The 26,529-nt window shown below is 37.4% G+C and overlaps 2 protein-coding genes and 1 pseudogene across 23 annotated transcripts in view; 1 reads left to right on the forward strand and 2 right to left on the reverse strand.

Annotated features, from left to right (window-relative positions):
• MAGI3 (membrane associated guanylate kinase, WW and PDZ domain containing 3) overlaps positions 1–3,984 on the forward strand; it is a 295,409-nt gene extending 291,425 nt beyond the window's left edge. Inside the window, exons 21-22 of one of the 4 annotated variants that reach the window (XM_017000974.2) lie at positions 245–363; positions 958–3,984. In XM_017000974.2, the coding sequence (XP_016856463.1) occupies positions 245–354 (110 nt within the window). In that variant the 3' untranslated portion in view covers positions 355–363; positions 958–3,984. Of the gene's footprint in view, positions 1–244 lie in introns of all 4 variants that reach the window. The other 3 variants (XM_005270737.4, NM_152900.3, NM_001142782.2) reach the window with 3 other exon arrangements.
• A 10,907-nt stretch (positions 3,985–14,891) lies between these two features.
• The window catches only part of PHTF1 (putative homeodomain transcription factor 1), a 63,058-nt gene continuing 51,420 nt past the window's right edge, over positions 14,892–26,529 (reverse strand). For 7 of the 19 annotated variants that reach the window (NM_001323042.2, NM_001323046.2, NM_001323043.2 and 4 more), the window contains 8 exons: positions 24,655–24,783; positions 23,951–24,223; positions 22,727–22,858; positions 22,142–22,228; positions 18,855–19,010; positions 17,765–17,860; positions 16,323–16,448; positions 14,892–15,786 (listed from right to left, as the gene is read on the reverse strand). In NM_001323042.2, coding sequence (NP_001309971.1) covers positions 15,766–15,786; positions 16,323–16,448; positions 17,765–17,860; positions 18,855–19,010; positions 22,142–22,228; positions 22,727–22,858; positions 23,951–24,223; positions 24,655–24,783 — 1,020 coding nt within the window. In that variant the 3' untranslated portion in view covers positions 14,892–15,765. Of the gene's footprint in view, positions 15,787–16,322; positions 16,449–17,764; positions 17,861–18,253; positions 18,305–18,854; positions 19,011–21,880; positions 22,229–22,726; positions 22,859–23,825; positions 24,224–24,654; positions 24,784–26,529 lie in introns of those variants that run through there. The other 12 variants (NR_136568.2, NM_001323048.2, NM_001323050.2 and 9 more) reach the window with 3 other exon arrangements.
• Positions 16,945–17,667, reverse strand: RPS2P14 (ribosomal protein S2 pseudogene 14; annotated as a pseudogene).

Genomic DNA, 26,529 nt, shown 5'->3' on the forward strand with positions numbered 1-26,529 from the left:
ACTATTCTAGAAATAAAGGCAGTACCACACCCACGCAGTACTTGCCTCATCTAGCTCCCCACCTCCTGCCCTACCCCACCCCACCCCACCGCTTTTGAGGGATAAGTGTAGACATAACCTCCTACAGTACCCTTCCAGCTTATGATTCTCTGACTGTATTATCTTCCACCATCTGCTTGTAAATCATATGTTCCCAGTGACATCTTTGCTAACTGCACTGATTTTTTTTTTTTTTTTCACATAGTCCTAGGCTTTTTCTCTTCCCTCTTCAGGTTTGGCTCCTTCCGGTCTGTGCTCCTACGTGAAACCCGAGCAACATTAAGGCTTTCAGGGCTTTTCTTGGTCTTTCCTTAAAAAGACTTGGTAAATTTGCATGTCTTGTAAATCACTTTCTTCTTTTGTTTTCTTTTAAATTAAAAATGATGCTATTAAATACATCTATTTCTATCTTCTGCACTTTTCAGTCTTCTTTTGACATTAAATTTGACAGCTTAATGCAAGAGAATTATTACAAATGCCCATGAGCCTCATTCTGGTTACCACAGTTTGGTTTCCTTTATTAATTAGTGATTTTGCCATATCCTAAACTGTATCAATTCATAATAATTAGTGAGCTTCTTGGGCCACGTAATTTGGTTCAGCTTTATAACTTGTAAGTTCTAATTGGGCTTTACTAATAGAGAATTTACAGATCATATATTATCTCACTAATTATATGTAATTGGAAAAAATGAATATTATTTTGTGTATATAAACAACCCATCCTTCATGTATGAACAGATGTCTGTACACATCCGCCTTTATAGAGAGATATGTTGTAAACATATACAAACTGTATAAAATACTCAGGCTTTTTAAGCAGTTACGACAATTCAAATGGCTGTCAAAGTTCAAAACGTATTGTTCCTATTTGTAATTCTAAAATTTAATAATGTTCCATTCAAATCACTTTTTTAGGTGATTGGGATATTAATAATCCTTCGTCTTCAAATGTGATTTATGATGAACAGTCACCATTACCCCCATCTTCACATTTTGCTTCCATATTTGAAGAGTCTCACGTGCCAGTAATTGAAGAATCTTTGAGAGTTCAGATATGTGAAAAGGCAGAAGAATTAAAGGACATTGTGCCTGAAAAGAAAAGCACTTTAAATGAAAATCAGCCTGAGATAAAGCATCAGTCTCTTCTCCAGAAAAATGTGAGTAAGAGGGATCCACCCAGCAGTCATGGGCACAGTAACAAGAAAAATCTATTAAAAGTAGAAAATGGTGTTACACGAAGAGGTAGATCGGTTAGTCCCAAAAAGCCAGCCAGTCAACATTCAGAGGAACATTTGGATAAGATTCCTAGTCCTCTAAAAAATAACCCCAAAAGAAGACCCAGAGATCAATCCCTCAGCCCCAGCAAAGGGGAAAATAAAAGTTGTCAGGTCAGCACCAGGGCAGGCTCTGGACAAGATCAGTGCAGAAAAAGCAGAGGTCGGTCGGCCAGCCCAAAAAAGCAGCAAAAAATTGAAGGAAGCAAAGCTCCATCAAATGCTGAGGCCAAATTATTAGAGGGTAAGAGTCGAAGAATAGCAGGCTATACGGGCAGTAATGCTGAGCAGATCCCAGATGGGAAGGAAAAATCAGACGTCATCAGGAAAGATGCAAAGCAGAATCAGTTGGAAAAAAGCAGAACAAGGTCTCCAGAGAAAAAAATCAAAAGAATGGTTGAGAAATCTCTTCCATCCAAAATGACTAATAAGACTACAAGTAAAGAAGTATCTGAAAATGAAAAAGGAAAGAAAGTAACCACAGGAGAAACAAGTTCTAGTAACGATAAAATAGGAGAAAATGTCCAGCTATCAGAAAAGAGGCTGAAGCAAGAACCTGAAGAGAAGGTAGTTTCAAACAAAACAGAAGATCACAAAGGGAAAGAACTAGAGGCAGCTGACAAAAACAAAGAGACTGGAAGGTTCAAACCGGAAAGCAGTTCTCCAGTTAAGAAAACACTGATAACTCCAGGGCCCTGGAAGGTTCCAAGTGGAAATAAAGTCACAGGCACTATTGGTATGGCTGAGAAACGGCAGTAACCTTTAGTATAAAACAAAGAAAAACAAGTTGTAATCTTTTCTTACAGCAGCATTTTTCCAGAAAAAGCCTTTTTTTTTTTTTCAGATATTCTGAAACAGATAAGTACATGTTAATGTGAGCCTCAAGTTACCTAGGCTGCATGAAGGGCCTTTAGGATTGCTAAGAACCAACTGTCCCCCTGGCCGGCTGCCCTCCCTCGCTCTCAGGAAGGAGCTGCATCCACATGCTCATCTGACCCGCCCTGCTCAGGCTGCCCAGCTCGTCTTCATGAGTGTCTGAACAAATGACATATGTTGATATTAACAATGTGGTCACAACTCACTTTGTATTTGTGCCAAGTTATCTACTGTATCATGTCTGTTTTTATCCTTTTTGTTCAGCTGTTTCCACAGTAATGAAAAAGTTAGGTTTGGCTTGGAAGTTGATGATCTCAATAGCATGTTGCATGTTTACAGAGAGAAATATGTGAGTCCTTGCAGAAGAAGAGACTGTTAACTCATCGTTAAAGATGGCCGTTGTCTCTTCTAACAGCTACTGATGATGTCCCACTTTAAAAATAAAACCCCCAAACATCACTACTTTAAGGAAAAAAAAAATGTAGTCCAATATTGATGCTTTCTTATGGCTTTTTATTTTAATTTGGCTGGATAAGTTGTTTCAAATAACTGTTAAAGATATTACTTACAATTGAATGTTTGAAATAAGAAAGTACTTTAAGCAATAGAGTTCATCTCCTGCTGTGTTATCCAACCTCGATGTATACTTACAGCATCTCAGGTCACCCTTTTTATTTCAGTTATTTAATTATGAAACCATAAAGAAGCATGTGGAAATAGTGTTTATTGCTCTTTGAAGAAAAACCACCAACTATTTCTGGATATTTTGGCTGTACCTACTACTAAAGTCATTAGTCTTTAATACATAATACATATTTGAAAAGTAAACATATTATATAGATTATGTGAGGGACTTAATCATGAAACCAGTTTCACAGTCCAAGTACCAACTCTTCTGGTAGCAGGTGCACAAGCTTGGGTGTTTAAAAACAACCTGTGTAGGGTATGCCCAGCAAATGAGGACAAATGTGTAGACAGTACTTACTGGATCTTATTTAACTTTTAGCTACATTAACTAACTTTCTTATTTAAAAACAAGAAAGGGAGACTAAACATCTGCTTAACTTGTACACATTTTCAGAATTCTTTTTAAAAGTCTAGTTAAAGATGTTTCTTAGAAGTTGGAGACTGTTAACAACTTCCATAAAATAGATCCAGGTTTTTCAGTTCCCTGAAGCAGCATTCAGTAGCATCTATATAAATAAAGGCACCTTCTGAGAATAAAACTATTTTATGGAGTGTGTGAACACACTTGTTCTGTCACCTGGGTTCATCTTGTTGTGAAGCACATTAGGTCCAGGTCCTTCCCTCTGGGAGTCTGACTGTGAAACTCTTTAACCCAACAACTCAATTAGCCCCTGTAGATAAGACATGCTTCCCAGAGTGAGATTTTTGAAATCCCCTTTTCATCCAGAACTATATTTACCCACCTATTGTAACTATTCAAATAGAGCAAAATTAGGAGGCTTGATAAATACTAAGAATTTAGTACCACAGAAATTATTTATTATTTTCCCTGTAGTCCACAATTAGTGATAACGAATCCTATTTTTGTTAACTGTGACATAACTTTGATGTCATATGTTGTCCTATGTGGTTCTTCCTAAGTAAACTCTGTACTGATTATATACTGACTTAGCAATGTGGCCTTGGAATGCTGAGCAAAATGTGGATGTACTGGTTGTAAATGTTTATATATTGTACAGTACCTTTATATATACACTTGAGGTTCTGATTAGAGAAAGATCTGTAAATTGCTCATTATTTTTTATATAGATATTTAAAAAAAACAGTTTATGGCCTGCATTTCTTTTACTGTCACATTGGTTTAATGTTGCTTTCTAATGGTGGAGCTAGGTCCCATCATAGTCTGAGTCCTCAAATAGATTTTGTCCCTCCAAGTAACAAACTTTCAAAGTCCTAAAATCAGGAAGAGTCTTATAATAATGATTTTACCTCTATAGGTATACTTTTATTTATTTATAAATAGAGTTTGAAATTCTTTAGAGTTGAATATCATTATAACCATTTTTCATCTTTCATTGTAAAGAAAATAGCTTTGGATAAATAATTTGCTACTGAAAATCCTTTCTTAACACTGTTGGGGAGAGAAGAGGAGTTTCTCATTGGAAATTCAGCTACTAGACATTTATAATGGATATAGTAATATCAGTCCAGTTACTACAAGGTCACAAAATCCCATTTCATCAGACTAATGATTCACATTATCTTTAAAGATCATTTATTTATTTAGTTTTATACTTACTTTTAGAATGTTTTGACTTAACTCGGTATGAAAAGTGCCTAAAACCTACTTCAAGACCACGGTTAATTTTATACTCTTTTAAGGTGAAATATAAATTCCCACTTACCATTGCAAGAACGCATACTAAAAATAAACCCACGGTCGGGCACAGTGGCTCATGCCTGTAATCCCAACACTTTGGGAGGCCAATGCAGGCAGATCATTTGAGGTCAGAAGTTCGAGACCAGCCTGGCCAACATGGTGAAACCCTGTCTGTCTCTACTAAAAATACAAAAATTAGCCAGGCATGGCGGCAGGTGCCTGTAATCCCAGCTACTCAGGAGGCTGAGACAGGAGAATCGCTTGAACCCGGGAGGCGGAGGTTGCAGTGAGCTGACATCACACCACTGCACTCCAGTCTGGCTGACAGATGATGAGACTCCATCTCAAAAAAAAAAAAAAAGTATACCCAAACTTCTAGTTAGTTCCCAGACCCCACAGTGAAGATGTGCCATAGCAGAGGCTGCAGAAACAAACAGGCAGTAAAATCGTTTTGTTGTTTTAGTGAACATATTTTCTTACTGGTCACAACAGGGAGAAAAGCTTTGAGATATTATTACATTGTCTCCCTAGTGAGATTAGAAGGCTAAGATCCTATGATATTGTCTTTAGTTACATCAGTCTTGGACCAGGCAGCTTTTGAACAGGAACAACTCTTATTTCAGAAGTCTTGGATCCAGAAAGGCACTTGGCTTTTTATTCTACATGAGAATACCTTGTTACTTCCCTTTTTAATAGCAAGATTTAAAAGAGAAATAAATGTAATCATGTAGAAGTAAAACCAAATGCTTTTAAACATGTAGACAAAGAATTATTTTATGTTTAATATGTCCACCATTCAAAGAGTAAGGATTTATAAGGCAAGGAGTATTCAGATTAAACTGTATAAAACAAACAGTCTCACTAATGACTTCCAGAAAGCTGTATTTAAGTTGAAGCTTAGTCCACAGTGGAGCTAAGGAACATTGATATAAATAAACTTGTTACAAAATGTGACATTTCAGTCTGGTATGAGGAATACATCAGAGCAAGTTTTTACATCATCATGGCATGCTCCAAGGCCTAAAAACTATTTGTGCTTTGAAACAATAACATTTATTTATTCGGGTGGCTCTTTTCTGGTTCTATTAGAGTTTATCGGGAATATGACTTGTTTAAAGCATGTCATTATTACATGGAATCTATAATCTTTGCTTTTAGCTAGCTGAATTAACTTAATATATCAACTAAGTTGGATATTTTTTCAACATTGCTAGGCAAGTAGCCTTAAGAATTATAAAGCCAGGCATGGTAGTAGACACCTGTAGTCCAAACTACTCAGGAGGCTGAGCTGGGAGGATCACTTGTGCCCAGGAGTTTGAGTCCAGCCTGGATGACACAGTGAGACCCCCATCTCAAAAATAAATCTTTTTCTTTTTTTTCCCCTTGAGATGGGGTCTCACTCTGCCACCCAGGCTGGAGTGCAGTGGCACGATCTTGGCTCACTGCAACCTCTGCCTCCTGGGTTCAAGCAGTTCTCCCACCTCAGCCTCCCCAGTAGCTAGGACTACAGGCGCACACTACCACACCCAGCTAATTTTTGTACTTCTTGGTAGAGATGGGGTTTCACCATGTTGGCCAGGCTGGTCTCAAACCCCTGATCTCAGGTGATCTGCCCACCTCAGCTTCCCAAAGTGCAGGGGTTACAGGTGTGAGCCACTGTGCCCAGCCAAAAAAAAAAAAATTTTTTTTTAAGTAGTATAATAAGGGAGTATGAAGGCTTATAAGGAGTTAGAATTCTGGCTGGGCGCGGTGACTCACGCCTGTAATTCCAGCACTTTGGGAGGCCAAGGCAGGTGGATCAGGAGGTCAGGAGATCAAGACCATCTTAGCCAACATGGTGAAACCCATTTCTACTAAAATACAAAAAAATAGCTGGGTGTGGTGGCGCATGCCTATAATCTCAGCTACTTGGGAGGCTGAGGCAGGGGAATCGCTTGAACCTAGGAGGCGGAGGTTGCAGGGAGCTGAGATCATGCCACTGCACTCCAGCCTGGCGACAGAGCAAGAACTGTCTCAAAAAAAAAAAAAAAAAATTCTATTTAATAGAAAACTCTGAATCTTTCTTATGTATACATTAAAATAGGAAAACATAGCCAAGAGCTTTAATTTAGCCTAAACCTATATCTTGACAAATAATCCTGTGGGTATTTTGCAATACTGCATTCAAGTCAAGCCTAACTATTAGCAAATACACAAATCAAGAGACATATTTTGTCCTTAATAAAAGATAATCGGCTGGGCACAGTGGCTCACGCGTGTATTCCCAACACTTTGGGAGGCCGAGGCAGGTGGATCACGAGGTCAGGAGATCGAGACCATCCTGGCTAACACAGTGAAATCCCGTATCTACTGAAAATACAAAAAATTAGCCAGGCGTGGTTGCACGCGCCTGTAGTCCCAGCTACTCAAGAGGCTGAGGCAGGGGAATTACTTGAACCTGGGAGGCAGAAGTTGCAATGAGCCAAGATCGCACCACTGCACTCCAGCTTGGGTGACAGAGCGAGACTCCATCTCAAAAAAATTAAAAAAAAAAAAAATAGAAAAATAAAAGACAACCATTTATTAACTAGAGTAATACCCTATTATACCTTATAGGCTCAGGATATGCTGCAGGAAAGGTATAGAATTATTGCACATTTGTGAAACTCACACTTCACTATTCAACATGGGCCCCAATAACAGCAGGGAGCAAAGGATTACTAAACTAGCCAGTACATGAATAGATTAGGTTTAATGAATTAACTCCCAAGTGACACACTGTATTTGGAAGAGAGACTCATCTAGCCTATTATGAGTGTGTAGATCTAAAAGTTTTCACACATAAATTTCATTAATTTGAAAGATTATTTTTAAACTGCATAGGTCCACTTGCCTCTAAATAAAATGAACCTAAAATAAAAACAAACTATACTTTGTGAGACATCCTGGTATTTAGAATTTTTCTACCTGTCTCTGAAAGTCAGAACCATACTCCAATGAGGCAAGTATTTGGTTATTCAACTTCTCAAAGTGTTTATATTATACATGGGCCATATTGTACATATTTAGAAAGTCTGTAGATCAGCAGTCCCCAACCTTTTTGGCACCAGAGACTGATTTCATGGAAGGCAATTTTTCCACGGACCTGGGGGCAGGGAGAAGGGATGCAGGGAGGGGGTGGTTTCAGGATGATTCAAGTGCATTACATTTACTGTGCACTTTATTATTTCATTGTAATATATAATGAAATAATTATACAACTCACCATAATGTAGAATCAGTGGGAGCCCCAAGCTTGTTTTCTTGCAACTAGACGTCCCATCTGGAAGTGACGGGAGACAGTGACAGATCATCAGGCATTAGATTCTCATAAGGAGCACACGACCTAGATCCTCGCATGCACAGTCCACAACAGGGTTCACGCTCCTCTAAGAATCCAATGCTGCTGCTGACCTGACAGAGGTGACCTGACAGAGGTGGAGCTCAGGCAGTAATGCAAGCAGTGTGAGCAGCTGTAAATACAGATGAAGCTTCACTCTCACCTGCAGCTCACCTCCTGCTGTTCAGCGTGGGTGTGGGTGGCTGGGGACCCCTGTGGTATATTATACACCCACAGCAACTTTAGGAGAGATAATTTTTCCCAATATAACTGCAGATTATAAAATTAAGTCAACAGGTATTTTTCTTACCCTTCTATGGTTATTACTATTCCAACTAAATGTATGAATGGCCTAATCTAATTGTTTTTACATCTTGGTTTAATTTCTCAGTAACAAGTAATTATCACCAAAATCTCATTCCTTTTTTGAAATCAAAACAAAAGCCCAAGTTCCTAGAAATTATTATACAGGGATAAATGAGGCACTGAAGGTGGGAGAACCATGAAATTACAGTTGATCCTTGAACAACATGGGTTTGAATGGTGTGGGTCCACTTATATACAGGCCTTTTTCTGTAAGTATATTGGAAAATTTTTTTGAGATTTGTGGCAATTTGAAAAAACAAACCATGTAGCCTAGAAATATAGAAAAATTAAAAAGTTATATAGATACTAGCCTATTTTATCATTTACTATAAAATACACACAAATCTATTATAAAAAGTTAAAATTTATAAAAACATACAAACAAACTGTACATGGCACCATTCACGGTTGAGAGAAATGTAAACAAAGATACAGTATTAAATCATAACTGCATAAAATTAACTGTAGTACATACTGAGCTACTATAATTATTTTGTAGTTACCTCCTGTTGCTATTGTGGTGAACTCAAGTGTCAAAAGATCTGTTTAAAACACCATGTGATGCTAATCATCTCTGTGTGAGCAGTTCATCTCTCCATAAACCGTGGATCACAGTAAAAAGTGATCCCTTGCGGTTCTTGCATATTTTTCATGGTTAGTGCAATACTGTAAACCTTGAGGACATAAAAACTGCAGGACCCATATGAAGCACCACCAGTCATAGAAGTGCTCCCAAGAAGCACAGAAGAGTCATGACATTACAAGAAAAAGTTGAGTTGCTTGATACCATAGATTGGGGTCTGTGGTTGCCCACCATTTCAAGATAAATGAGTCCAGCATAAGGACCATTGTAAAAGAAAGAAGGAAAGAGAAGAAAGAAGGACGGAAGGAAGGGAGGGAGGGAGGGAGGGAGGGAGGGAGGGAGGGAGGGAGGAAAGAAAAGAAAAACTCATGAAGCTTTTGCTGCAGTTATGCCACCAGGCATGAAAACCTTGCACTTTTTGTGAAATAGCTTTTAACTTGCATTTAAAATGCAGCTTCATGTGGGTATGGGAGTGCTCTAAGGCATATCTATAGATTCCAATGTGATTCAAGAAAAAGCAAAGTTATATGACAAAGCAAAAGGAAAGTAGATTTGCTGATGAAGAAGCAGCAGACGAGTTCACAGATGCCATTCAGAAGATAACTGAGAAGAAAAGATATCTGCCTTAACAGGTTTTTAATGCAGAAGAAAGTGCCTATTCTGGGAAATAATGCCACAAAGGAAATTTATTAGAAAGAGAAGCAAGCACCATGATTTAGGCAGGAAAGGATAAGCTAATACTGTGCAAATGCAGTTGTGTTTACGATCAGGACTACACATATCTGTAAACCTGCTAACCCCCAAGCCTTGAAGAAGAAGAAGAAAAAAAAACACCAGCTGACAGTCTTTTGGTTGTATACCAAGAAGTCCTAGACAATGAGAACCCTTTTTCTGGATTGGTTCTGTCAATGCTTTGTCCCTAAAGTCAGGAAGTACCTTGCTAGTAAGACACTACCTTTGAAAGTTCTTTTGATACTGGACAATGCCCCTGGCCACCTAAAACCCCATAAATTCAACACCAAAGCGATGAAGTGGTCTCTGTGCTCCCAAACACAACATCTTTAATTCAGGAATAAGGGGGTCATAAGGACTTTTTAGATCCATTACACACAGTACTCTGGAAAGGACTGTCAATACTGTGAAAGAGAACCCCAAGAGAGAACATTATGAAAGTCTGGAAGGAATGATTATGCCATGCCACTGAAAATGCCATCATTGTTACAGAAAAAGCTGTGAAAGCCAACAAGCCCAAAACAATAAATTCTGGCTGGAGAAACCTGTGCAGATGTTGTGCATAACTTCATAGGATTTACAAAAGAGTCAATCAAGGAAATCATGAAAGAGATTGTGGATGTGGCAAAAAAAGTGGGGTGTGAAGGGTTTCAAGAGAAATTCAGGAGCTAATAAACCCCACACCATAGGAATTAACAGATGACTTGTTGATGGAGACGAGTGCTTCCAAATCAGTGCAAGATGATGAGGAAGAAAACTTAGAAGCAATGCCAAAGAACAAGATGATGTAAGACAATCTGGCAGAAGGGTTCCAATTATTCAAGGCTGCTTTTGACTTCTTTTACAACATGGACTCTTCTATGATATGGACACTGAAACTAAAGCAAACAGTAGAAGAACGATTGGTACCATATAGAAACATTTTTAGAGAAATGAAAAAAGCAAAAAGTCCAATTACAATGTATTTCTGTAAAGTTAGATCAAGTGTGACTGCCTCTTGTGCTTCCCCTTCCACCTGTGCCACCCCTGACTCAGCAAGACCAACCGCTCCTCTTCCTCCTCAGTCTACTCAATGTGAAGATGACAAAGAGGAAGACTTTTATGATGATCCACTTCTCCTTAATGAATGGAAAATATGCTTTCTCTTTCTTAGGATTTTCTTTATAACATTTGTCTTTTGTCTAGCTCACTTTAAGAATACAGTATATAATACAAATAACATACAAAATGTGTTGATTGTTTGTGTTACTGGCAAGACTCCCAGTCAACTGTAAGCTATTAAGTTTTGGGGGCATCAGAGTTACACATGAATTTTTTACAGGAAAGGAGGATAGTGCCCCTAACCCCTGCATTGCTCAAGAATCAAATGTATGACCCTTCTATCCTAACAGAAAAAAAAACTACACAAATGGTAAATTACTTGAGGTCTATTCTTCATTCAACACATTTTTATTGAACACCTATTATATGTTCTGGGGACAAGAAGAAGTCTCTGCCTTCAAGGGACTTACACTGTAGCGGGAAAGGAAACGACAGACAGTCAAAAAATAAACACGATAAAATTGTGGTAAGTGCCATGAAGGAAATCAATAAGGCGATATAACTGATAATGGATAAAATGGGTAACTACTTTAACTAGGGTCATCAGAGAAGGCCCTCTAAGGAACTGACAGCTGACAGCTGAGAGATAAGCAGCAGCCAGCCAGAGATGAACCTAAGAAAATATATTCCAGGCAGATGAAACAAGCTTGCACAAGCCTGATATGAGAAAGAACCTGGAATAATAGAAGAGCAGAGGGAGGTCAGTGTGGTAGTGAGGTAAAGGAGTGAGGCTGTAAAGTAAAGGAGGTGAAGCTGGAAGGCAAGGTAAGCATGATAATGAAGGGCCTTGGAAGCCACCAAAGAGAAAGCTAGGAAAGGTTTAAGTAGGAACAATGTTAGTTTCCAAATTTTGAGGCTCATTCATGTGGCTATGAAAAACCAACTGTAGGAGACAAGAATGGAAACAGACCAGTGGGTCACACAGTAGTCCAAGTGAGAGTGAAGGAGGTTTAACCTAGTAGCTGTGGAAATGTAGAACTGGCATGACATGGTAGTAGATTAGATATGGAGCTTTCAGCCTGAGCAATTGGAGAAACTCATTTACTAAGGTAAGGAAGAGTTGTTTTACTCTTCAACTTACAAACAACTGAAAAACAATTTTAAAAATATGAAAAAAAATGGATTTTAGATATAGACACCAGGCAGCACAGGACAGTAGAATTAAACAAGGTGAGTCCCATGATTGCTCCAAGATTATTGCATACAGGCAGTTTTACAAGGAGGCAGTTTCTAGGCTGTGGTGCAAGAAGGGAGAATCCAAAAAGAACCAAGCAGTCTTGCTGAGTTGAGGAGACAGAATTGAGAATTTGGGGAAGGCCTGGGGTCTAGAATTTTAGGTAGGAGTACCAGAGAGAATGCAGCTGCACAGAAAGGGAGGGGCTCCAGAGACATGCAGAGGGCTCCTTTCAAGTCTTTGGCTGAATATTGATCAGCACAAGCATGTGAGGGAATACCCAAGAACAGGTTAAGAACCTCCAAGAAGCAGGCAGAAAAATTCCAAAGTTCACACAAGTCTGGGAATAGTTCATGCTACTACAGCCAAAGAAAAAACCTCATAATGAACAGAGCATCAGGTAGAGTACTCAGAAGGATATTGCTTCAGTAAATAGAGAAAAACTAAAGGCTGCTCTTGCCCACCTAGCAAAGCTTAAAAGCAAGCCTTGAAATAATCAGACTGTTTCCAATAACTTTACAGTGTTCCAAAACAAAGCTCTCAAGAATATTTAAAAGACTACCAAGAATACACACATACACACAAAAACCAACAGCATAAAATTCATAGCCAATAAAAAATTACCAGGCATGCAAAACAGCAGTACAATGACCCAAAATGAGGGGGGAAAATGACCCCAATAACTGTTTTAATATCTTTATATACTATTCCTATTATAAATGTATTATGTTAAATGAGGTAGAGAAAAGAATACTCATGTTAAAGATAGACATGGAAGATATAAAAAAGACCAAAATCAAACTTCTAGAGATGAAAAATGTATAGGATGGGATCAATAGCAAATTAGTGCAAAAAAAGCAAACTTGAAGGCACAGCAAAAGAAACCATCCAAAATTAAAACAAAGAAAAGGTTGGAAAAACATATAAAGCATCAATGAGTTGAGGAACAACTTCAAGCAGTCTAATATACATGTAAATTTGAGTCCCAGAAGGAAGAAGTAAGAGTAGACTATAGAAAATTTATTTTAAGGAATAGCAAAAATTTTTCCAAACTGTATGTGAAAATAGAAAACTACATATAAAAAATATGATTACAAACCCACAGATCCAGTAAGTTCAACAAACCCCAAGCACAGAACACATGAAGAAAGCTAAACCAATGTACCCTATAATTGAATTGCACAAATTCAATGGTAAAAAGAAAAATCTTAAAAGTAGCCAGAGTTTTTAAAAAAAAAAAGAAAGAAAAAAGACACTTAACATACAGAGGAGCAAAGATTAGAGTGACTGTAGACTTCTTGTCAGAAACAATGCAACAACCCAGGAGGTAACAGCACAACCACATCTTTAAACCTAGAATTTTATACCCAGCAAAAGTATCTTTCAAACATAAAGATTTAAAATCTTTCTCAATAGGGTAGGCCTACACACCTTGCTAAAAGGATTTTGGATTTTTATCTTCAAAGTGCTAGTAAGCCACTGATGGATTCTAAATGATGAGACTTACATTTCAGAAAAGACATATTACATTTTTGAGATGAGTGGGTTAGGTGTGGGGGAAAGAGGAATCAAGCATACATAAGAGCAGAGATAGCAGAAACTTGCTCAAAAAACAAAGGATGCTGACTTAAATAAGAGCAGTGGCAGTGGGGAGGAAGAAGAGTGGACTGATGAGAAAGATATCTAGAAGATAATTATTCAAAGACTCAGTGATTGATTGGATGTGAGGTATGAGGAAGAAAAATGAGTCAAGAATCATTCCTAAGTTTCTGATATGATTAACTATACTTACACATAATTTTACCCACCTGAAAAATAATTTAAACCAATATACACCATCAAAACCACAACTGAAGCAATCCACACAATTGAATTAATATACTCTAAACACTGCTTTTAAACTAAGAATTAACTGTGTAAAAGTTGTACATAAAAATAGAACAGCATTTTTGTAGAAGAAAAAGATGAAGGCATCAGTTTTCATTTGAAATCTGCAGTGAGCTCAATTTTGGATTTGAGATCACTGCTACTGTTCCCTATGGAAACAGTAAAAGCATGGTTTCTATGAACCATCTGTTGAGATGCTGAAGTGCTTCTACAGAACACTGCCTTCTAAAGGTTTATCACTATAATGGAGTTTTGCCATTTAAAAAATTATAACTCATGTATAAAAGGCTGCATATTTTTGGTAATCAACTTCTAGTTCAGCAACCTTGCTTTCCATGTTTCTATCTTCACAGTTAGGAATTATCAGTGAGATTTTTTTTAAGGACTTTAAATAGTAGTAACACATTTATTGTAGATTTGCTGAGTACTAAATACTTTACACTGTGCAAGTACCTTACATGACAACCTCATTTAATCTTAACAACCTTATTATGTAGTTATTATCCCCACTTGTAGTTATTATCCCCATAAATGGGTTAACAAGTGAGAAAATTGATATACAAAGAGCTAATATGTGGCAGGGCCAAAGATTTGAACCCAGAAAGGTCTGACCTCAATCCCTGGACTCTTCAGAGATCCACCTCTAAACCTCACAAATATTCCTGCTTATTAGAAAATGTGCAACTGATCCTCTGATTTTAAATGAATACATGCTTTACATGTAATAACCAAGTTTCTAAATTATGTTTATTTAAAACTTCACAAAACCTTATCATTAAAATGTTCAAGCTTTCAATTTGCCTCAAAGAGATTCTTGCAAATTAGCCAGGTGTGGTGGCGGGCACCTGTAATCCCAGCTACTCGGGAGGCTGAGGCAGGAGAATCACTTGAACCCAGGAGGCAGAGGTTGCAGTGAGCCAAGATGGTGCCACTGCACTCTAGCCTGGGCAACAAAGTGAGACTCTGCCTCAAAAAAAAAAAAAAAAAAAAAAAAAAGAGAGATTCTTCAAAGCAGGTAACTTAATGAGCAAGAATTATAAGTAGACTATTAGAGCTTTCATTAACATATGTATATGCATGTGTATAACAGGATGCTGCATTACAGAACCTGTATCATCAGAGGCATGGCATGGCCGATTATAGACACTGAGGACCTGAAAATGTACGGAGGGTTTAATACATTAAGTTGCACAACTGATAAACTATCAATGATGCTTGTGATAGGACACATAGCACTGTGTTAGGAACCACAACTCAGATGATCTATATGGAAACAATGCTTCCATGGCTTCCACATAGAACGTGGAAACCATGTTGTATGATGGAAATGGATGAGTAGGCATATACTTAAATTTTTCATGCTGAATTACATGGCATATTGTATGCATGCATCGTTTGCCAACAACTATACAGTTATTAACCCAAAATCGTAAACGAACAAAACATTTCTCCACAGTTTAACAGAAACTCACAGTTTAAAAGTTAATTTTCTTCCTTCAACAACAAAGAAAACCTAGAAACTGAAAGTCTCCAGTAAAGTTCTTTTATTCGGATTTAACCTAAAATAGTTCGCTTGATCTCTCTTTGATAGAGAAATGAAATCTCCAGTTCTATAGACTATAATGGAAAAGTATTGAATTTGCATATTTCCAATAAAAGATATTTGCTTCATGCTTTGGGCATCTATCATAGTTGCCCAAAAGACTATGTCCAGTAAACATAACTGTCACAGTACTGAAGCGCAAACTTACAAAATTGTCTTTGTGTTACCACAACACACACAGTCTTTAGTCAGCTGACTATTCATGTTGTTTGAAAAGCATGAAAATACAGGTTTTTAGCATGCACACCCAGTTGGAAAAGGACTTGCTCCTCCGGAAACACCATTCATTCGCTTTGGCAGAGCTGAGAGCACCTGTGCATGTGAACAAGCAGGTGGGTATCTCACTGGTTTCTGCAGTCATCACTTTCCTTGATAGGTAAGTTTTGATACCAGCCAGGGGAGAGTCCAGGCATTTACTCAGCTTATGATTTAATTTTCCACAGCTAAGAGAACAAAATCACCAAAATAAGTTAGTTCTAGGAAAACCAGGTGGGATTTATAGGTACACTTACATGACTATAAACTAAGAATCCTTTATAAAAGAAGAAAATGTATCAAGTCTGGCAATAGCAACCATAGAACATCATAGAGAAAAAACATTTAAAACTTCCAGGATCAAAAATAATACAATGCAGTTCATGTACTGGTTTTCATTCATTCTACATCTGTACATTCCCCAGGATCAGAGTAAGACCATTACCCAGCTCAGGCTATTAAACTGATATGAAATTCAAACTTGATTTTTTTTGTTCCATTCAAGAGCACTGTCTGTTATATTTGTGTAAAATGAGAAAACTGAAGCTGAAAAGCCTGTGGACCACCAATCAAAATGCCTATTTCTTTACCTCAAGAGTTATTTGCATGCTAGAAACACACACACACACACACACACACACACACACACACGTGTGAAGAACACAGATTTCTGTACATAGTAATTTTTAAGACTAGGATGCTACAGAGTGGTGGTGATACTTACTCTTATATTAAATCCTAGAAGATCACTTATAACACCTGAGACAGCAGAAAGGATAACTACTCTTGTGATATTGTAGATTAAGGGATTCATTGTCAGTCCATAGAGTCTAAATGGTGTGTCCAGCTCCTACAAAAAACATCAAAGAATTGAAATGAGATACATGTTTTCTCATAGCTACTCAGTGACTTCTTGCTGTGTTTTGTCTTGGGTATAGATGAATGCTTAAGGCTGTCTTTCCTTAATATTCAAAGAGCTACCTTCAAAAAATCCATAACGTGTTCTCACCTACTTTTCTACTAACTAAGATTTTTTTAGGTGGATTTGAGCAATATGTCATTTGTAGTTTTATATATATATATACACACACACACACACACACACACACACACACACACACATACACACATATATAAAATATGACAGACATCAGCAATCATCAGAACCTGGGTAACAAAATTGGAAATTTTTTCACAGTAGTTATTAACCCAAAACCATCAGGTCAGCATTTTGAATCTACACAGCCTAGCATCTATCTCTTACTGGGTTCTGAGAAGTAAAACATTAATTAATGTATTTAAAACAGGTTAACTCACTTTATTTTTCTGGTATAAAACCACCACATGGTGGCCATAGCTAGAGCTTGGGTCCTCTACATGGAGAGTCTGGTATGGGTCTTTAGGCCATGGTCACTAAATTCCTGATAGGGAGACTTGGTGAACATGTCTCTTACCAGAGGTTGGGGGTGAAATAGCTGTAGGTCTTGGAGATGGCATCAAAGGTGCCCTTGGCAAAATTGGCCAGGGTAGCAGCGCAGTCCCCAGTCAAAGTGCAGCAGTGGTGGGTAACCACCATCAGCAGCAGGTTCCTGGGCACAGGGGCCAAGACAGTACCAACGCCCCTGGAGGCAGGGATGAGGCCACCAGCACAGAGATGCAGGCTGCCAGTCACCTTGCAAGGGTAGGTAGTGTGAGTGTGAGGCTTGCTAATCTTGTTCCCCCAGTAGTCTCCTCACACAGGGAGGATAAAGAGCTTGACCATGATTATAGCCCCATGGATGGTGCTGGCTACCTCCTTGGAGCACTAACACCCAGACCAACATAGCCGTTGTAGTCCTCAATGGTGACAAATGCCTTGAACCTGGTCCTTGATGCACAGAGAAGAGGCAGATCTCCTCCAGGGACTTGATCTTCATGTCCTTGACCAGATGGCCCAACTTGGTGATGGGGAGCCACTCTTTGTCCTTAATCTTGCCTCCAGGAGCTCTGTGACCTCAGCTCTGGTCCTAACCACCACTGTGACCCCTACCCCTGATGCCACTGTGGAAGAGTCCACTTCCAGGACCCCTCCCAACCCAAGGTATCATCTGCCATTTAATGTTTTCTTAGAGAAAAGACTGATTTAACTCAAATGATAGTAAAAGTGTATCATAGCCTATGACTTACTTTCAACAACTTGGTGGACAGCTTTAATACATTGTTTACTAGAGTAAGCTGTTCTTTCTTATTTGGCTTTTTTTCCATCTTAAGATATAAATTAATCTAAGGGAAGGAATAGAAATTAAGGTAAATTTCTTGGAAAAAAATATATATACTGCATAAAATCTGGCATATTTCAAAGGTCATGTTTTCAAGTAAAATAAATTTTGAAATTCCAATAGCTATCGCTACAGAGAACATATGTCATGTGCTCTAGCCCCCATTCCTGATCAGTCTCCCTCTGGCAAAGAAAAACTATTTAGTGATGAAAAATTAATGATGAAGCAATTTAAATATCAAAACAATGAAAAATTTTAATATTACTTGCAACATAACATAATTAGCACGTAAGCACCTTGAGTTCAAAACCTCTATCTTATTCATCTCACTATCCCCCTAGATAATCTAACATCCTCATTAAACATTTATGGAACAGAAGAAGATAGCTCCTTTTACTTTACTAATTCCTTATATTTTGCCTTGTAGGAAGAATTCTCCATTACGATTCTAAGACAAAAAAAAAACAGAAACGAATGATAAATGTTTTTATTCAAAGTTTATGGAAAAACTTGAAATTAAAAACAAAATTAAAAAAACTTTATACTACTCTGTATTTACAAGAGATATTTCTCAATCTTAGTGTCTATTCACATACTGAAAACCAAGTATCTTCCAAACACTGAATAATGTATTCTATGTCTAATACAGAAGAATTCAAGAAGCTTATTATACATGCTAAATGACAAGTACTCTAAAGATCTAATACTTGACATAGAATATGAGATTAAAAGCATGCTCCATTACCACCAATAAAAATCTCTCCATAGTATACAAAGTCTTTTCAATCCATTAGATCTTAATTCTCACAGAGCAGGAGGAGATATTACATCCATTTTATTAGGGATAAGCAACTACAGAGCAGCAAACTGACTTGTGAGGTCCTGTAGCTAGAAAGTGACAGCTAGACAGTGATTAAACCCTGAATCCTCTGCAGGAACCTTACAGCGTATTACGCTACCCCTAACCACTAAACCCAATTGACAGGACTGATCAATACCTGTTCTGTAAGTAATATTGAAACATTGCTGTATTTCTTATTGGTTTCAGACCCCAGTGAGGCCAGACGCAATAAAAAAAGTAGTAAAGCTGTTTCCCAGATCAAAAACTCCCAGTTATAAGCATCATTCAGGAAAGTTTTATGTCCTTGGAGAACCTATACAAAGGATCAAAAAAAAGTTAAGTTTTTCATTTACCTTAAAATCATGTAATTACTCTTTTACTCTGTCAATTTAAGAACATTTCCAAAAATCCAATATTTTAATACTGAAAGCAGAAGAGCTTTAATACTCATTAACTATTACCTATTTATTTAATCACTATATATTTCTCTAAGTTTTCTAGATTTTCTCCTTTAGCAAGGGTCTAGAAGTAACAAAGAAGGAAAATACCACAAATAAAATAAGACAAATGCATTTGCAGCTACTTTAACTATCAGTGTGTCCACTCACAACTATATGGCAACCATTATTCAAAGTAATAACTTTGCTTTATGTCAAGTGAGCTCCCTAAAACATGTGGCTCATTCCACTGGTATGACTAGAAAATCCTAAGGATCAGTTCTTTATTCTGTTTTAGGCTCCAAATAACAATAGCAGCAGCAACTACCATTTATTGAGTGCCTATTATGTGTCAAATTTTCCGGTAAAAGGTTTTTGTTTTTGTTTTTAAATTTGTTGATTTAAAAGTAAAGAAATTTACTCAAGCCCAAAGTAAGATGGAATTTACTGAAAAACATACAGATAATGCTCACAGAAACCTGGTGAAAAACAGGAAGTCACCAAGCAGCTGCCCTCTCCATCTCGCTTCCCCCAGGGCTACGTAGGCTCCCATCTCCACTCCTCTTAGCCAGCTCCATTGCCTTACAAGACCTTTGTTTTCTGCCTCCCCACTGAGTTTGACTCATATTAGCTTTGGCTTGTCATGGCACCCTAGCAGCAGACTTCTCAAGATAAAATGTGGAAATCAGAAAGCAATAGAATCCTAAAAGTGCTGAAAGGAAATAACTGGCAACCTGGAATTCAATTCCTGGTAAAAAAAAAAAAAAAAAAAAAAAAAAAAAAAAATCATTCAGAAGTGAAAGTGATAAAATATATTTTCAAACAAGCAAAAACTGAGGGAATTCATCACCAGCAGACTGGCACTAAAATAAATACTAAAGGAGTTACTCAGGTAGAAGGAAAATAATCCCAGAGAGAAACACAGAAATTCAGGAAATAAAAAGCAATGGAAAAGGTAAATATGTGAGTAAATATGATTAATTACACAAAACAATAATAATTACATCTTGCGGTTTTAAAATATATGTAAAATTAAGGTGAAGGACAATAATACAAAAGGTGAAGAGGTAAATGGGATAAACTGTTCTAAGGGCCTAGCATTATCAAGAGAGTGATAAATTAATCAGTTTATTAGACTATAAAAAATTAAGCATGCATGTTGTAATCTCTTTACTACTTACAACAAAAGAACATATAACAAGTTAATAGGATTAGGTGGAATATTTAAAAATATTTGGTTAATAAAAAGATGACAAGAGGAATGAAAAAGGAAAATTAGCAGGTAGAAAAAGTAAGAACCAAATATATTTGTGGTTACAGTAATAACATTAAGTTTAAATGGGCCAGACACTCCAAAATCTAAGACTGTGAGGATGGATTAAAAAAAAAAGCAACCAACTGGGCACAGTGTCTCATGCCTGTAATCCCAGCACTCTTGGAGGCCGAAGCAGGAGGATCCCTTGAAGCCAGGAGTTCGAGGCCAGCCTGGGGAACAAAGCCAGACTCCACTTCTATGAAAAATTTAAAAATTAGCCAGGCTAGGTGGCATGTGCTTGTAGTCCCGGCTACCAGAAAAAAAAGGAAGAAGAAGAACGAATGAACAAACACCAAGCAACCATAAGAGGAAATGCTGATTATGAGAGACACACCTAAAATATGAGAACAAAAGAATAAAAACAGGTAGACAAAGATATAACATGTAGAAATGAATCAAGACAGCTGGTGCAATGAAATTAACATCAAATCAATAAGAAACATTACAAATAGAGACATTTTGTAGGGTCATGAAAGGCAAAGCCTGACATTTTTCCAGATTAAAGGAGACTAAAGAGACATGACAATTACATGCAATATGTAATTCTGAATTGGATCCTGGATTCAGAAAAAATAAATAAATCACTATAAAGGACATAAAAGTCAACTGCCCAAAAAGATGGATAACAAAGCTAAATCTGGATGTACCCAGTTACACATAAAGCAAAAACTGACAGAAGAGGAAACACAGACAAATCCACAATCAGACTTAAACACACCTCCACCAATGGCTGACAGAATAAGCAGACCAAAAAATTCAGTAAGGATGTAGGTAATTTGACACATAAAGGACACTGCTCTCAACAATGACAGAATACAAATCTTGTCAATGTGCTAATGGAAAATTTAATAAAACTGAATGTATGCTGGATAACAAAGTAAACCTCTACATATTTCAAAGGACTGAAAATATTCAGAGTATGCTTTGACCACAGTAGAATTACATTAAAATTCAATAAAATTCAAAAAATATAAGATAAACCTGTAACTTCTTTTAATGCAGAAAGCACGGAAGTGCTTTACAAAAAGCAGACCCTGTCAAAAGGGTACAGGAGGGGGTTTCTAGGGGCTCCCACTGGCCAAATTTAGGACAATGTAGGCAGCAAAGCAAATATAGTAACAGGTTTTTTTTGTTGTTTTTTTCTTTTTTTTTCATGGAGATGGGTCCTCATTATGTTGCCCAGGTTGGTCTTCAACTCCTGGCCTCACACAATCCTCCCACATTAGCCTCCCAAAGTGCTGGGATTACAGGTGTTAAGCTGCTATGCCCAGCCTATAGTAACAGATTTTAACCCACTGTATAAAAATGAGAATACATGATTCCACAGTATAATAAATAAATGAATGAATAAATAAGAGGGAAAGAAATGAAAGATCTACCTTGGAGTGATAACTAATAAATACAGAAGGAATAATGTAGTCAGAAAATCAGTTATTTTGCAACCATATGATAGTTTTATTATCAATTAATAATTACCAACTAAAATTAGAGCGATCTTACAGTTTGAAAGGACTTCAGAATTACTTGTATTCCCATTTTGAAAAGTTAGAAAAATTACCAAACATCCAAAATAGTAAAAAATGTAGATGCATTAAAAATACATACTTAAGGACAGTGACCTAAGTCTAAAACAGAAAGTGAACTCTATAATAGAATTTTCATTTTTCCTTAAAGCAGATGTGAAACTTTTACCTGAGCACAACAAATGAAAGCAATCGAAAGTGTCAGTAGGAAAACCGAGGATACAACCACATCAACTGAACGCTGTGGCCCCCGTCTCTGTGGAGTGAGACACATGTGTTAATGTTTTAGTTACTGGCAGACAGCAACCGCCCTCACATTATTAACACTCTGAATTGTACTACATTCGTGTGAAAATAATGTTTATAAGAAGTTTCTGAGATAGGATTTTAACATATTTTGGACGTCATCAACTTTAAGTACTGAAATCCATGCATTTCCAAATTAAGGGTGACTGATTCATTGACATACTTTCGGCTGGAGTATTTCCCAAAAAAGCCAGAAAAATATAAACTATTTAATTGTCACTTTGCCCCTAGGAAATTTAGATTTTCTTTTCCCTTTCTAAGCTCTTCTTTACCTACCCCTACCAGCTTTGCAGAGAGATGACATCCAACTTGCTGTCCAGCAAGTCTGTCAGCTGCTGCTATAATCTGCCTGACACCCAGAACTACACTGTCTACTGAGTAACTGCTGCCAGGAGCTTCAGTGAGCATATTCTTGCACATACTCTATTGTTAATCAAATAAAACTCACCTTTAGATAGGAACGCAGTGATAACCATATTTTAATATTCTCCACCTTCTTAAGTCTGAAATGAGGTATTTCATATTTCCTAGCTTTCCTGGCAGAAGTAATATGGCTGAAGAGTTTTGCAAATAAAAATCTCTAGAAGAGATTTAAAAAAAATCACAGTGAAATGTATGTATGTGTCTGTGTATTCATATAATTGCCAACGATATTCCCAGAATACAAAAATATTAAAAAGAATGAAGTTCTAATCAGTGTTCAGTAAGATGGGCAGTGAAAATTTTCATTAATAGCTCGTTACCCTGTTGTTTCCAAAGCACATTACATAGTAACATACTTCTTCACAATGTGGTACACTCAACATTTGCAAGGAATATTCTTTGGAGACCCCCAAAGAATGGTTGGCATTTATGGATCCACTACTTCACAAACTCAAATGTTTATACATGATTCTGGCTTATTCTCAAATTAAATTTCCATTCAAAATCACATTTCTGGGGCTGGGCATGGTGGCTCACGCCCTGTAATCCCAGCACTTTGGGAGGAAAGACGGGCGGATAACTTGAGCCCTGGAGTTCGAGACAAGACTGGGCAACAAAGTAAGACCTCACCTCTACAAAAATACAAAAAATTAGTCGGGTGTGGTGGCGCAGGCCTGTAGTCCCAGCTACTGGGGAGGCTGAGCTGGAAGGACTGCTTGATCCTCAGGAGGTCAAGGCTGGAGTGAGCCGTGATCACACCACTACACTCCAACCTGGGCAATAGAACAACACCCGGTCTCAAAAAATAAAATAAAATAAATCACACTTCTTCTGCATATCACCAATATTTTAAACCCTCCATCCATAATTTTTATCAAATTTCAATAAATTTATTTCTCACTTGGCCATTTTTCACAAAAACATTATCACATGTAGATAATTATTTTATTCTATGGATAAAAAACAAAAAAGGGACACTGAGGTGCAGATGCTAAGCAGTCGGCTAGGCTCACTCACTGGCTAAGCCACTTATTCTACACATGAGGCCTGGCAAAATTTCAGATTACAACGTGTAATATGTAAATAGTCAATAACACAAACAATAAATCCACAAATATCAAAAGTCCACTTATCAATCCTTTATTGCCCACATCAACTTGAAGAGAGACCAAATCAAGAGAACAAAAGCAACTCAATGGAATATCATATACAAAAACAGGTAAAAAATTTTCCTTATTTCTCCACTGACCTGTTTATATGTTCTCTCTGCCACACACATCATGAAAAAAAACATCCAAGTAAGACACAATCTTTCAAAAAAATTAATTATCGACAAAACAATAATAGGTGTAACAGGTGGTGCCCCACAAAAGAGAGTCAAGATCTCCTCAGCTGAAATGGACTTTAGTTGGTCAAGGCTCTTCTCACGGAAAAGTCGATGTAAGAATGGAAAAAATGCTAATCCAATAGTGACAACATTTCCCAGCATCTGATAACCTACTCCTTGCTGATAGGCATTGACCTGTGAATTAATTTAAAATTTCCACCATTATTGTGTTAGCTAAATGGAGTTACAAAGCAGTATTTATCAAACACTATTTAGACTATTAAAAACACATTCTAAAAGTATAAATACAAATGACATACAGATTTATGACTTTCAAATCTTATTAAAAATTGGGATTCAATGAGATAAGGAATATCTGTAGAGCATACCTGAACAGTTGATTATGTTAATAGAGACCAGGTATAACAAATAATGTATATACTACCATGTAAAGACTCTGACTACAAAATTACATATATATGTTAATAATGTTATTATATATAATATGATATATATGTGCTTCAAAAGCAGAGTCATACTGTTTTAATCACTAAGAGATTCTTATAAAATAGCTCCTGATCACTTCGTATATTTTTTGAAAAATCTGAAAACATATTCAGTCTTACCCTGCTCATGATGATGCCACTTATTTCCAACACAGACATATCCATCTTTTTGCACTCATTCCCCTCCCAGATTATTGCACTAACTCGATCAGAGGAAGGACTTGAATTCTGAAGCCAGAATAAATGATTCTGAGAAGAAAAATATAAAATTGTTTCTATCCATGCCCTCTTGCCTCCATTAGTTTTTCTTTCCCAGGCTCCATTCATTTGCCAACACTCTAATAACCACCTCTATAATGCTGGTCCTTTCTTTCTTTCTTTTTTTTTTTTTTTTTTTTTTTTGAGACAGGGTATCACTATGTTGCCCAGGCTGGTCTCAAACTCCTGGGCCCAAGCAATCCTCCCATCTGCCTCCCTCTATACAGCCTTCTGTGTAGCAAGGACCATAGGCACATACCACCATGGCTCGCTAGGTCCATTTTTCCTTACTAAGCCATTCTCTCATCTAGAGAGAGACTAAATGTCTTCTGTTATGAGGAGAGATAGTCCATGATCTCCAAGGTTGCTTCCCTCTCTAAAGGTATGGAAGTGAGGATAAGCTTAGTGTAGTCATGGGCTATTAAGAAAGAATTTCTAGAGCTACGAGATTACACTGGGAGTAATAGGAAGTAAAGGAAGAGAGATACTAAAAGGCCTTATAAATCACATGAATGACTGAGGAGTTAAGTCTGTTTCTGGTCTAACCAGGACACAAAATTAGTGAGGCTTAGAAAAGCTCAAGTGGAGACAGTCACAATGAAAACAGCTCCCTCTCCTCCTCTGCCATATCATGTCTTATTCTTTAAATACTAGCTCAAGTCCCATTTCACCAACATGGTCCTCTCTGACAGCCTCAGTCTTACTAACTTTGCCCTTCTCTGAAATGAAAAACTTCTACAGTCTGTATCAGACAAATTAACATCTTATTATATGGTGCTTTTATGTTGTCCTCTATTTGTTTCCTATATAATTATCTTGTTCCCAAACTAAAAGATAATCTTCTAGAAAAGGACCATCTGGCATATTTTTTCTCTTCTACCACCATGCTTAGCATAATGCCAACAAGTATTTATTGATTTGAATCACTGACTTGATTGATTCACTGACTTATACAATTCATATTAAGCACCTACTATGTATCATGCATGTGGATAAAATGGAGAACAAGATAGATGTCCTTGCTATCAAGGAGCTTATAGACTTCTGAAGGAAGTTACTATACAGCATGGTAAGGAAAGGCAAGAGTGCTTTAGGAGTATATAAGAAAGGCTTCCTGAAGGAAGCATCACTCAAGCCAAGACCTGCCTGGAAATAAAAAGGAATGAACCAAAAGAATTGGCATTAGAGAAAATTATGTCCCAGGCAAAGAAACCTGTATGCATAAGGGCCCAGAGGCACATGAGGCCTGGTACACATCAGAAACAAAGAAGGTTAGTTGAGTCGAAGTTCACCATGTGAGGAGGAGGGAGGGAATGGTCAGAGATGAGACTGTATTAGAACAAATAAAGGAACAGAAGCAAGCAATCCAGAAAGAAGAAAAAAGGATTTTAAAGGAAGTGGCATTATCAGATTTGTATTTTAGAATTATCACTCTGGCTGTAGCAAGGAAAATGAAAGGAACAGAGGCAACCCTACAGAAGCTACTGTAATGATCCAGTTGAGATAAAATGATGGCCTGCACCAAGCAGGGTGACCAGAAACAGAGAGATGCAGGTATTTAGACAGCTGAATCAAAAGAACATAAGCGACTAAGGGTGGAAAGAATGGGGCCAGCTGGGCGCGGTGGCTCACGCCTGTAGTCCCAGTACTTTCGGAGGCCGAGGTGAGTGGATCACTTGAGGTCAGGAGTTCGAGACCAGCCTGGCCAACACAGCGAAACCCCATCTCTACTAAAAA

The sequence above is a fragment of the Homo sapiens genome, chromosome 1 (genome assembly GCF_000001405.40).
Source record: "Homo sapiens chromosome 1, GRCh38.p14 Primary Assembly".
Taxonomy (NCBI): domain Eukaryota; kingdom Metazoa; phylum Chordata; class Mammalia; order Primates; family Hominidae; genus Homo; species Homo sapiens.